We start from the raw sequence: 12,749 nt of genomic DNA on the forward strand, positions 1-12,749 counted from the left end.
ATATAGACATTTATAGATAGTAAACATTTTTATTACTGATTTTTATGTTTTATGAGCTCAAATTGATCTAAATTTCTCAAAGAAAGGCTAAGAATAAAGAAAAGAGCAGGCAGTAGAGGCATGTGGGAGGAGTTGCTCATACTAATTCTGAAAATGGGTTATCATCTTCATTTGTGTAGTCCTGCATATAAACGTAGAAAGATTTACAAAAAACCAATTTTCACTACGATTTTAAAATATCTTGAAGCAAAAACACAGCCTTCAATTTTGATAACATTTTTGTGTGATTAGATAGTTAAACTACATGAGGAAAAAGTGCTACATTTGGATTGGAAGAAAGAACAGAAACAACTCTAGAATGTATTGAGAATGCAGTTTGTATGGGGCTCAGTGTCTCTTTGAGAGTCCAAGTCACCTCTTTCTGCAGAGCAAGAGCTTGATATTTGAAGCCAACTTGAAGCAGCTCTGCCTTGACCAGTGGAGGTTCACAAAAGCCTAAATATCCTCTTTATTTGTAAAATGGGATTATTGCAGAACCCATCTTGTAGAGTTCAGTAAGAGTCAAATACAATATGACCTGCTAAATACCCAGCACTTTCTGAGACCCTTGATTAATTGTAACTATGATTTACTTTATCTTTCCTAGGGTGGCAGCTGTAGTCTTCACTTGAAATTTTGATTTTTATTCCGTTCCCAAGTAGACATGATAAACTATAGCTAATTAAATGGTTGTGTTGTATAAAATGAAAACAATCAGCAACCCAGAAAATATCACCCCATCTTGAATATACAAAACATAGGCACAAACTTTGTCTAGTGAGCATGAAATGGTTTCTTATTCCCAGGTGGGCGATGTTGCCAGAAAAAGACAACATTTATTTCCAGCCTTTATAGTTCAGGAGATATTTGAAAGTGAGATATAAGGGAAAAAAATTAAATCCAGTGCTGGAAGCAAGTCATTCAGACAGGACCCTATCTTCTGGGTAAAAGAAGGACAGTAATGTCCCTCCTACCCCCACCACACACACACAGTAGTCAAGCAGAAGGCGTTTGGATGAGAATACACAAGGAAGTCCAGCTTCCTTGAACAATTTTTGTGTGCTTGCAAGATAGCAGTAAAAATATAACTGAGCAATGGAAGTGGTTTGTGTGTGAGCCCTGAGAAAAGAACTGGGACATTAGTGAGGCTGAGAACTTGCCAAAGCAAAAATGCTAGAGGCAAAGGTCACTAGTAAAAATGAGGTGAAACTTAGACACAGAGAGCAGATGTACTTCAGTAATTACTCACAGCCTAGGCAGTGGATACTGATGCTTGTCACTGGGTATAACTAAGGGGTAGACCAGTGCCTACTGTGCTGTTTATAAATGAAGTTTAGTGTTTTTTACCCCCTTCCCCTAAAATTCCCCGACCTTTTAAAATTCTTTGGAAGCTTAAACATCTTTTATAGGTAGGTGTGTTAGTCCATTTTTATGCTGCTGATAAAGACATACCCAAGACTGGGTGAATTATAAAGAAAAGAGGTTTAATGGATTCACAGTTCCGCACGGCTGGAGGGAATCATCACAATCATGGTGGAGGGAAGGAGGAGCAAGTCACATCTTACATGGTGGCAGGAAAGAGAGAACTTGTACGGGGGGAACTTTGCTTTATAAGAACATCAGATCTCATAAGGCTTATTCATTATCCTGAGAACAGCACAGAAAAGACCTGCCCCCAGGATTTGATTACCTCCCACTGGGTTCTTCCCAGGACACATGGGAATTTTGGGAGCTACAATTCAAGATGAGATTTGGGTGGGGATACAGCCAAACCATATCAGTATACTTAAAGAGAGAGGCAGGAAATGAATGGTTTTAGTAGTATTGCTCACACTTAGCATTTCAGTGCTGTGACAGGGTAGGTAGTGCAAAGTGAGGGAACTAAGTTTGTGGGGAAACTGCTATCTACTGCTACATGACAGTATTACCACAAACCTGGAAGCTGGAAGCCACACACATTTATTATCTCAGAGTTTCTGTGGATTAGGAGTCTGGGCATGCGTTAGTTGGGCCCTTTTTAAGGTTGCAAACTAGGTGTCAGTAAGAACTGAGTACTCATCTGAGGCTCAACTGGGGAAGGATACACTTATAGGCTTAGATGGTTACTAGTAGCATTGAAATCCTTACAGGCTGCTGAACTGAGGGCCTCAGTTTCTTGCCAGTTGTCCTCAATTTTTTGCCACATAACTGTCCATAGGGCAGTGCACAACATGACAGCTTGTTTTCTCAAAACCAAGAGGAAAGAGAGTTTTTCGGTGTGATAGTCATTACAATCTTATACAACATTGTGAAGGAAGTGAAATCTGTTCCTTTCGCTGTATTCCATTGGTTAGAAGCAAGTCGAACGTCCCACCCACAGTCAAGTGTGTGAGTTCTACAGCAGCATGACTCCAGGAGGAGCACATCATGGGCGCCAACTTAAGTCTGGTCAACAAAACTACTGTGGATGGAGAACTATAAAGACATTGAATAATTAATTTTTTAATTTCACTCTGAGGCACATATTAATATGATTTTACAGATGAGTAAGACGAGCTTCTCAAATATGAAGACCCTTATTACTCCGCACTTGGTCCATAGCAACTCCCTGTAAACTTGTTTCTTTCCTTCTAGAAAATCCTCTCCAGTTCCATTTTCTACACAGCAACTAGAATGACAAAACAAATGTGATCACATCCATGTTCTGTTAAACAACCTTAGTGCTCCTCTTACCTCTTTAACATGATGGATACCATTGGCCCTTCATTAAATTGTCCTCAAACTACTGAAGCTTATAGTTTTTGGGGTCCCCTGGTGCCGTCCCCACAATGCACAATGCTCCTACACTTCCCCCATCTGAATGCAGGCCTCTTTTCCCTGCACACACTGAGCTTCATCTTCCTGACCCTCGGAGTTATCTGAGGCACCTGACTCCAGGTTCTAGAAAGTGAGATTCTCCATTATTTCTTCTCCCCACATTCCCTGGGCCTCACCTACCTGGAGATTATCTAGAGCTCTCAGCATGCTGCATGAAGAGCCTCCAGGTTTGAGTGGACCCCAGCTCCTGGGAGGCTCTCAGACTCCTTAGGAGCAACCCCAGTGACACCTTTCAGCATCAGGCGTCACTGCTGCATGCTCATTTCCTTCGCCAATCACTGCATAAACATGATTTATCTGTTGTACAGAGAGGCAACAGAAGCATTAGAACATTTGAGCTCCTTTTCCTGGTTGGCTGGAGGGGGCACTTACTTCTAGTAAGCGAGGTATTTAACATCTCTAGTCTATCATACACCAATTATTTAATATTAATTTTTATACATGCAACATTGGAGGACTAGGATTTGCTTACCTGTAAGGCCTTTTCTATCAGGATAGCATACTTTAAAGAGCCTGGAGAGGAACATAATTTTCCTTTTAAAAATAACAATTCCTGCCACGGAAGATGAATCCTGTAAGCATGCGAGCAGAGAAGCTGTACTGGATGAAGAAATCCTGTGCCCCTTTGGGTTCCCTTCACTATCTGACTGTCTCCTTCCCTCTAAAGCACAGCCTGCCTCCCAGACCTGCTTACCAACAACCTCTGATGGGACGTCCACGAGATGGCTGGAAGTCCCCAGCCTGCCTGGCTCACAAGCCCTGCACACCAAGCCCATCTTCAAGGAGACACTTGTCTACTTCCAGTAGTGGATGATGCACTCTGTGCAGGGCCAACTGTGCACACAGTGCTTCATCCACTACTGGAAGTGTCATGAGCTACTGTTCAGGAGTCCAGTGCAACCTGGAATTCTGAGGGTGTTAACTGTCCAAGTGGCAAATGGATCAATGGAAACAGGAAATAGGAAGGAGCTAGCTGGGTTATTCCCCCTCCTGTGTTTCTCCCATGTGCTACCCCAAGACAGAGATATTCGTTGTAATTTTCCTGGACAAGCCTAGGGCTGCCAGTTGTAACTTCAAGGCTTGTGGGGAAGGAGCAGCAAGGTGATGCATCACTTCACCTGGCATCCCAGATTTCTTTGCCTTTACTTCACTTCTTCCTCTCTTTCCTGGGTTTGCACATCCCAAATAAAGTCTTAGGTTTTTTTGTCTCAATGGCTCAGGCTAAGACAGAAGCCCAACTGTGAAGGCTACTCACGTTCTCACCCTGCTGTATCGTAGAATGGAGCTGAAATACAAAATTGAGATTCAACACATTCAGTCCCGACCAGAAACATTTCAAGGAAATCTGTGCTCACAGCAAGATTGAGTGATGGGACACAGCGCTTGAGATTTCAAGGCAAATGCTTTTTATGTCGTACTCAACATGATTAGCTTCACACGTTACCAAAAAAAAAAAAAAAAAAAAAAAAAACAAAAACCAAAAAAACCCCACAAAAAACTGACTCATAAAACATGTATTGATGTTGCATTTGGGAACAGCTGCAGCCAGCCTGTGTGCAGAAATACACAAAAATGATTATCTTCCTAAAATCAATCTTTGCAGTTCTGGAAGAAGACAGAAGACGGAAATAGCTCTTTGTGGAGCTGAGTGACATGTTCTGGCCAGGCATTCTTTGTTAATATAACAGATGAGAATTAGACAAATTGGAGCTGGAAAGCGCTCCTGTCATAATGTGGCTGATGGGTCTGTGGAACAGCAGCAGCCATGCCTGCAGGATGTGCTCACTGCTTTCCTGAGCTCCTTTTAAATAATCCAAGCTGTGACACTTCCCTAAGTGGAAGCTGATCTCTAAATTAGGTGAAATGTTAATATTATGTAGTTTAATCCATCCTTGAAGTCAGAGAGTTTGCAGAGGGGGTGGCTTGGGAGCCTCCTGATGGATTGTTCATTCATTCTTTCAGGCATTTATTCATTCATGTATTGAATTCAGAACTGCCCAGTAGAGCTTTCTGCTGTGATGAAGGGTCCCATAACAGCACTTTCTGATACTGTAGTCGCTAGCCATTTGTGACTACTGAGCACTTGAAATGGGGGTACAAGATGAATTTTTTATTGTATATGATTTCAGTTAATTTAAATTTGAGTAGTTAAATGTGGCTAGTGGCTACCGTATTGGATGGTGTAGCTAAACATTCATTCATTTAAAAATATTTACTGGATATCTACTAAAAGGCCTCTTAGAAGGTGCTTGGTAAATATTTTAGGGGAATAGTGGGTACTCAATATATATATTTTTAGTGACATGAGGAAGGCAAGCTGGGTCCACAAATATTTTTAGTAAAACAGGGACTAAATATTGTAAAACACACATACAATTTTATGAGACTAGATATACATATATCTGATGATAGAATAACTTATTTTATTAATTTATTTTTAATTCTATTGGTTTAAAATGGGCAAGGCAAAGATTAGGTATCTCTTCATGTCAAAGATATATTTGTGTTGAACCTGGAATGGAATTCCAAGCAGAGAGAACAGAGAAGGATGAGTAAAGGGTCCCAGAAATAGCTCTTTGGTTCATAGTGGATAAGACAAGAAGGGTCTAGAGGTTACACAAAGAGGCATAAGGATTGTGCACTATTTCCATCCAGGAAATATAAAGGCAAATTTTCAGCATGTTCAGATTAGAAAATTTATTGTAAGAAAAAAAAAAAAAAAAACACAAGAGAATTTCTGATTAGGATACAGAAGTTGTAATCACAAGTTGTTCATCAATCTTTTGTCATCCCCCAAACAAACATTGGTGGCTTTTCCAATGGCCTAGATCTACCGACTGAATTATGGCAAGAGAGTCCCAGGCAAAAATCACAGGACCCCTTGTCCTTAGCAGATTGTCTCAAGCACCACTTACTTAAATGGGTAGAGTCAAGTTCCCCATAAACAGCAAACAGTGATATGGCCTGGTGTTCACATTTGAGGAATTATTATTTTATACTAGTAGCAGCGATAAGTTTTTGAGTATAAGTAGTGATGATCACATTCTAATTGAGCCACAATTTCAGTTTTTGAAAATGGAAATTGTGGTGTGGGGACAGAGTTTCTTTATCTTCAAAGGAGAGAAATCTTTGCAAAAGTCAAGTCATAGATGACTATCATCCAGTAACAAGAAAAAGGAAGCAATCTTCCTGAACTTCCCCTTCTGCCTGCCAATGTTAACAAGAATAGCAGGAGAGCCGTGTTTGAGCTCATGGTGACCCTGCACATGACAACCAACGTTGCATTTAACCTTCACAGTCCCATGAGGTAGATCAGAAAAGTCTGAATTTATGGGTAAAGAAGTCGAGCTCTGCGCAGGCTCACAGCATTTTTTAAGGTTATACCGTGAGTCTGTTTCAGACGAAGTGAAGTTGGTCCTACTCCAGATCTGTTTGTTGTCTTCTAAGAGATCATGCCTCTCTTAAGCTATCCATTGCCCACGGTCTCAAGTGTCACAGTACAACTTCACAAGCTGATGAGTAAGAAAAAAATAAGACAATTATGTAGATGATGATAATGCATGGTGGAGTGTGACGATATCCTTAAAGAAAATGTTTATGGAATTTAAGTCCAAGCCAGGATGGGGGCACATGTGGTTGAATGGAACAGGGGGCTTCATGGAGCAGGTCAAACGCAGGTGAGATTCGACTGTAGAGTAGAGGGAGTGTGTGGGTTGCTGGGGAGAGAGGCAGGCAGCCGAAATGACAGAAATACTTACTGAAATATCTGTGTCCCTTTCGGCTGGAGACTGAGAGGGAGACTACATCTGTGAATTAAGTGTAACAGAATGCTCTGTGGCTGAAAAGAATCCTCACGTGTACTTAATATATGTTCACTTAGAAGAAGGTAAAACCTGCCATTTCATAGCTTACAAATCTCTCTCTATATCTGTGTTTGTGTGTGTGTGTGTGTGTGTGTGTGTGTGTGTTTAATCTACCAAATAATTCAGAATTTAAATCTGGGCCAGATTAAGTCTTTGTTTCATTCAAAGATATTAATTAAGCGAACTTGGCCGGGCACTGAAGGTAGGCAAAGGAGAAGAATGTGGCTCCTGCAGCCCTGGAGCTCAGGAATCTGTTTGGAAAGACAAGCGTTGCCTGTGCTGTAAAGAAACACAGACTTACGTAAGAATGGTGCAAGGAAAACAACTGGTTTCAAATATGTAAAGAATTTCTGGGGGAGGATGCTGTTCAATTTTCTCTCTCTTGGGAGGATAGAAGAGGAGCGAATGGTTTTACATCGGAGCCAGTGTGTATAGTTAGTAAGTAGGAAGCCCGATCCTGTTTATCAACTCAGATGTAAACATTGCAAAGGCCAGAGGTGGTCCTGACATTGCTTGGGGATGCTGGAGGGGAGTCCTCAGAAGGTCACCTGGAGGTGCTTGAAGGATAGGAGGAGTTTGGGAGACTCAAAAATGAATGGTAGGACGGAGAGAGATCGTTGTCCAGACAGATGGAATAGCATGTGTGAAGGCGCTAGTGCCGAGAATCACTTTAGGTTCTTGGCCTTCTTCAACAATGGAAAGGAGGCCCCTGGTGCTGAAGTGTGAGGATAGCAAAGCAGACAGCAGCAGGAGGAGAGGCTGGAGAATGTCCAAAGGCCAGAGTGCTCACAGCTTTACTGGGAGGAGAGAAGATTTTCCCCTGAGCACCATGAATCTATCTGTTCTACAAATGCAAAGCAAATGCCGCCTATTCTCAGGAAAACTAAAATCATCTTGAACCCTAACACAGGAAAAAGAAATATTCCAAAAGTTGCAATGAAGTTTGCAGAGAATAAAGTTCCCTAAAAACACACAGAATTTGCAAACTGTAAACCTAGCTCCTCAATGTATGCATCAGAATTCAGGTCAATTTTGATTTGCTCTTGGAGAGAGTAAGCCTCTGCATGTTTTTGTTCATGCATTTGCTTATCGGAGCCTGAGTACCAGGAGCCACATGGCTAAAGGCGAAGCATGCATGGCTGCTTTCCATTTACTTCTAGCTGGAGACCATGTAAAAGGACAGAATCAGAGTTTTTCCTGCTGCACGGTTGATGTCCTGCTCACAGTATTCAAGACTAAGTAACCTCAAATGTACTGGAGTTCAAACATTTTGCTCCGATGAAATTTTATTTTCCTTTTTGGACTATAATTCAGGACCACATTCTTGTGGGTGATAATGGGGTTCCCCCAAAGAGGAAGTAGATATTTCCATTATCAATCCTGCTGGAATAGGATGGTGGGGGGCAATGTTGGACAGAGAAGACAAAGCTCTTTTCTCTTTGAGGTCACATGAGAGTTAGGCATGAGAACTCTCATGAGAGACAAAGCAGCTTGCTCCCTGTTATATGAAGGCTGATAAGGATCACAGAGAGTCAGGCCAGGATCACAGAGAGAGAGAGGCCAGGATCTCAGAGCAAAAGTCCCATCAGAACCACAGAGGATCAGGCCAGAATTGCAGAGGGAGAGGCTGGCCAGAAGTACAATGAGGATGCCAGGATCGCAGAGAGGCCACACTGCATGGGATGGAGAGATGGTGGATCTGAGTTTGTGGACACTGAACGTTATGAGATATTTTAACCGTTGCAACTTATCCTCTGTGTTGTTCTTTTATTCTGTTTTCTGGGTAGTGTATTGCCTGCATAAGGGAAAAGCGTGGGGGCTGGAAATGCAGCTGAGCAGAAAACCTTGGAGCACTTGTTTCTCATCTCACATGAAGTAGGGGAGTTAATGGGAACCTGGGTGTGGGAGGGGCTGAAGGATGGGGATCTTGCTTTGTAATGTGAGAATGTAAGAAGAACGTGACCTTCTACTGTTTTCCTAGGTTGGAGGGGACCGGCCAAACCCCAAGGAAAGTGGAGAGAAGAAAGGCATGGAGGGGTTCTGTGGAGGGTGTGGAAAGGGAGGATGTGTAAATCCCAGCGTGGGTTTGGAGAACCTAAGTAGGTTGGCTTCCCTGGGGTTTAAATCACAGAGGTGTTGGGAGGTGAGCCCGAAATGGAAATAGGCCGCATCTTGAAGAATCCCACGTGCGGTGCTGAGAAGTTTGCATATGGAACAATGGACTAATTTTAAACAGGGGAATGGCATAGTCAGATTTGGATTTCCAACAGATTGCTCCAGTTTCAGTGGAGAGAATGAAGCAGAGGCGGGATCTTTGGTGGCAACTGTGCAGGTGCAAGGCGAGGAAAGTGCAGCCTAGGTGAGTGAGAGTAAAACTAGGGAGGAAGAGTTGGATATCTGATATGGCAGGAGTGGAACCATAGAAACTGGAGATGCGTTGGGTCGATGGATAGAGGTTTGAGTTTCCCAGTTAATGGACGTACTTCTTTGCAGCCATTCTGAGCAACCAGCATTATCTATCTCAAAAGGATGAACAAATGTTTCTCCCAGTCAAATTGTCTAACTTCCTAGTTAGTGTGAGTTTATATCTAGGTTGTTCAAATATTCATCTAGCAATTATTAGAATAAAAGGACCAAATTCCCTTTCCTGTTTCAAAAGAGAATGCGTAGGCATTGCAGCAGATCCATGGAGATGTGACAAGAGAGCTACATTAGGTGAAGAAGGGAGGGTTTCTGCTAAGCCTTAGGGAGTAGGGATCACATAGTGAATAATGGTCCAAGAGGCAAAAGGACTGAAAGCCAGCTAATTGGAATGTTTAAGACTCAAGTTCATAGTTACATTTAGATGTTTTCCATCATAAAGCCATAGGAAGCAACTGGTTTCAAACATGTAAGGTGTTCCTTGGGGAGGATATTGATATGGTTTGGCTCCATGTCCCCATCCAAATCTCATGTTGAATTGTAATTCCCAGTGTTGGAGGATGGGTCTGGTGGGAGGTGATTCGATCATGGGGGTGAACTTCCCCCTTGCTGTTCTCACGATAGTGAGTGAGTTCTCATAAGATCTGGTTGTGTAAAAGTGTGTAGCATCTTCCCCTTTGCTCTCTTCCTCCTCCTCCAGCCATGTAGGACGTGCCTGCTTCCCCTTCCCCTTTTGCCATGATTGTAAGTTTCCTGAGGCCTCTCCAGTCATGTTTCCTGTACAACCTACAGAACTGTGAGCCAATTAAACCTCTTTTCTTTATAAATTACCCAATCTCAAGTAGTTCTTTATAACAATTGAGAATGGACTAATACAGATACTGTCCAATTTTTTTTTTCTCTAGAGAGGGTGGAAGAGGAATGAATGCTGTTGCATTGGAGCCAGTGTGTGTGGTCAGTAAGGGGAGGATGAATCTCATCATCAGCTCTGATTAAATCCTGCAGAGGCCATAGGGGAGGATGATGTTGAGACTGATGTCCTGGAATGTCCTCAAATATCTACAGCTCTCCTGGATGCTTTAAGAATTGTCTCATCTGGAAGCAGGAGACTGAACTTACCCCTTCAGGAATCTATTCAGCTCTAATATTTTGTGATATTCATTCTACTATGAGGATCCCCCTTTTTCTTTTTCTTTTTTTTTTTTTTTTTTTTTTTGAGACAGAGTCTTGCTCTGTTGCCAGGCTGGAGTGCAGTGGTGCGATCTCGGCTCACTGCAACCTCCGCTTCCCAGGTTCAAGTGATTCTCCTGCCTCAGCCTCCTGAGTAGCTGGGACTACAGGCACGCACCACCATGCCCAGCTAAATTTTGTATTTTTAGTAGAGACTGGGTTTCACCATGTTGGCCAGGATGGTCTCCGTCTCCTGACCTCGTGATCTGACTGCCTCAGCCTCCCAAAGTGTTGGGATTACAGGTGTGAGCCACAGTGCCCAGCCAAGGATCCTTTTATATTTGCTAAAAAGTAAAGCCAAAGCATCTTTAGGAGGAGAAATTGTATCTTGGCTCCAATTAAAAGTTATCAGCATATATATAATACTATAGTATTTGCAATGCTCCTTATCCTTTTGAAGAAATAGTCATTTGACACCAGTGAACATTAATGACCTGAAGAAAAAACATCTTAAGTTTAGGTCTTGTTAATTTATAATTTGTAATTATCTGAAGTAAAGTAGATCTAGAAATTACATTTGCACCATCTTATGGAAAAAGCAAGGACTTGATGTAGTTGTGGAAACAGGTCTGCTGAAAGGTAGTTCACTTTTATCAAGTGCACTTTTAAATTATTCATAATAAACCTATAAATATAATATCCATCTCTTGCGCTGCCCTGGGATACATGTGTACTTTCTGTAAGCTGCCTTGACCCTTTTCCTCCATGTATTGGGAAACATTAACCTCCACCTTCTCCCATTACTTTCTGCACTTCTAATGCAGAGGTTGTCACATGACGTTAGTGACATAGTTTGTCTATGATTTGTTGCCACCCAAATCTCATGTGAATTGTAATCCTCATTGCTGGAGGTGGAACCTGGTGGGAGGTGTTTTTTTGGATCATGGGGGTGGATTCCTCATGGCTTGGTGCTGTCTTTACGACAGTGAGTTCTCATGAGATCTGGTCATTTAAAAGTGTGTGGCACCTACTCCCCAGCACTCTTTCTCTCTTGCTGCTGCTTTCACCATGTGACATGCCTGCTCCTGCTTCATCTTCTGCCATGATTGGAAGCTCCCTGAGGCCTCCCTAGAAGCTGGGCAGATGCTGGCTTCATGCCTCCTCTACAGCCTGCAGAACTGTGAGCCAATTAAACACCTTTACTTTATCAATTACCCAGCCTCAGGTATTTCTTTACAGCAATGCAAGAACGGCCTAACACAATTAGTAAGCTGTGTTTATGGGCCTGTCTCCCCATTAGATCCAGAGCTCCAGGATATCATGGGGCAGGACTTAGTACTCTCTCTATTACTGGCTTCAGGCCTAGTATCTTACATAAATTAGAAGTTCAGTCATTACATGTTGGATAGAAAAGTCGTTCTAAAAAATTGTTAATGATGAATTGTAGTATTATTCTTCTATCTAACTGAAGGCAAAATAACTCTACAGCAGAGTACTACAAACTGAAATGCTGTGTGTATATATAATGCATATATATGTATATGTGTGTGTGTGTGTGTATATATATACACACACATATATTATATATATACACACACTCACACATATATGGTGGCCAGGGTGAAAAACAAGAAAGGTTTATGTGGCCATGTGGCCCATGGTCCAGCCGAGGAAGGCATACCTTCCCTAAAGACCTTCTTAATTAAAAGACAAAGGAAGAATGAAAGCAAAGCATTAAGGCATCCATGAGCCACCTTGTGCATTCAAATTATATAAGAATGCAAGCTCCATGAGGCAGTCATTTGGTTTATTTTATTCACTGCTGTATCATTAGAACTTATAAGAAGTATTTCCTGTATGAATGATTGAAAGAATCAAGTGACTGAGTCAAATAAGACGTGTCTGTGGCTTGATTCAGCCCCTGGGAAAGCCAATGTATGACTTGTTTTAGAAAGCATCCTCTAATTCATCCTTTTCCCTAATTTGGACTGGCTTTATTCTTCTTCAATCTCTATCTCCATTAAAATCACAGAATTTTAGCACCAAGTAGGCCTCTGAAATTATTTCAATTAGTATCACTTGTTTCTGTTGGTCTTGGCTTGGCTCTATAACTTCTGATAATATTTGTTTCTTAAAAAGAAACCAACAAACCAAACAAAAAGTAGCCATGGAACCCTTTTAATGGGTTATTCCGGGAGTCATAGAGCTTCTTTGAAACTCTGGGGCCTTTGCTTTTTTAGCAGTGGGACGTTGAAAGACTACAGACTCTAAAACATTGATATTTACACTATTAAGTGGATGAATTAACTGAGTTTTCTGGTGTGGCATAGATTTAGTTTCAGTGTGGGTGGCACATTATTGTCAAAGCAGATTTCCATTCAATGTAACAATAAAAATACC

The 12,749-nt window shown here is 41.8% G+C and overlaps 1 long non-coding RNA gene and 1 other non-coding gene across 2 annotated transcripts in view; both read left to right on the forward strand.

The window, feature by feature from the left end:
• MIR3681HG (MIR3681 host gene) overlaps positions 1-12,749 on the forward strand; it is a 571,233-nt gene that overhangs the window by 188,323 nt on the left and 370,161 nt on the right. The gene's annotated exons all lie outside the window — the stretch shown is intronic.
• MIR3681 (microRNA 3681) lies at positions 3,692-3,763 on the forward strand. Its single transcript, NR_037452.1, has one exon. It is a non-coding gene; the product is annotated as a microRNA 3681 (primary transcript).

The sequence above is a fragment of the Homo sapiens genome, chromosome 2 (assembly GCF_000001405.40).
Source record: "Homo sapiens chromosome 2, GRCh38.p14 Primary Assembly".
Classification (NCBI taxonomy): Eukaryota; Metazoa; Chordata; class Mammalia; order Primates; family Hominidae; genus Homo; species Homo sapiens.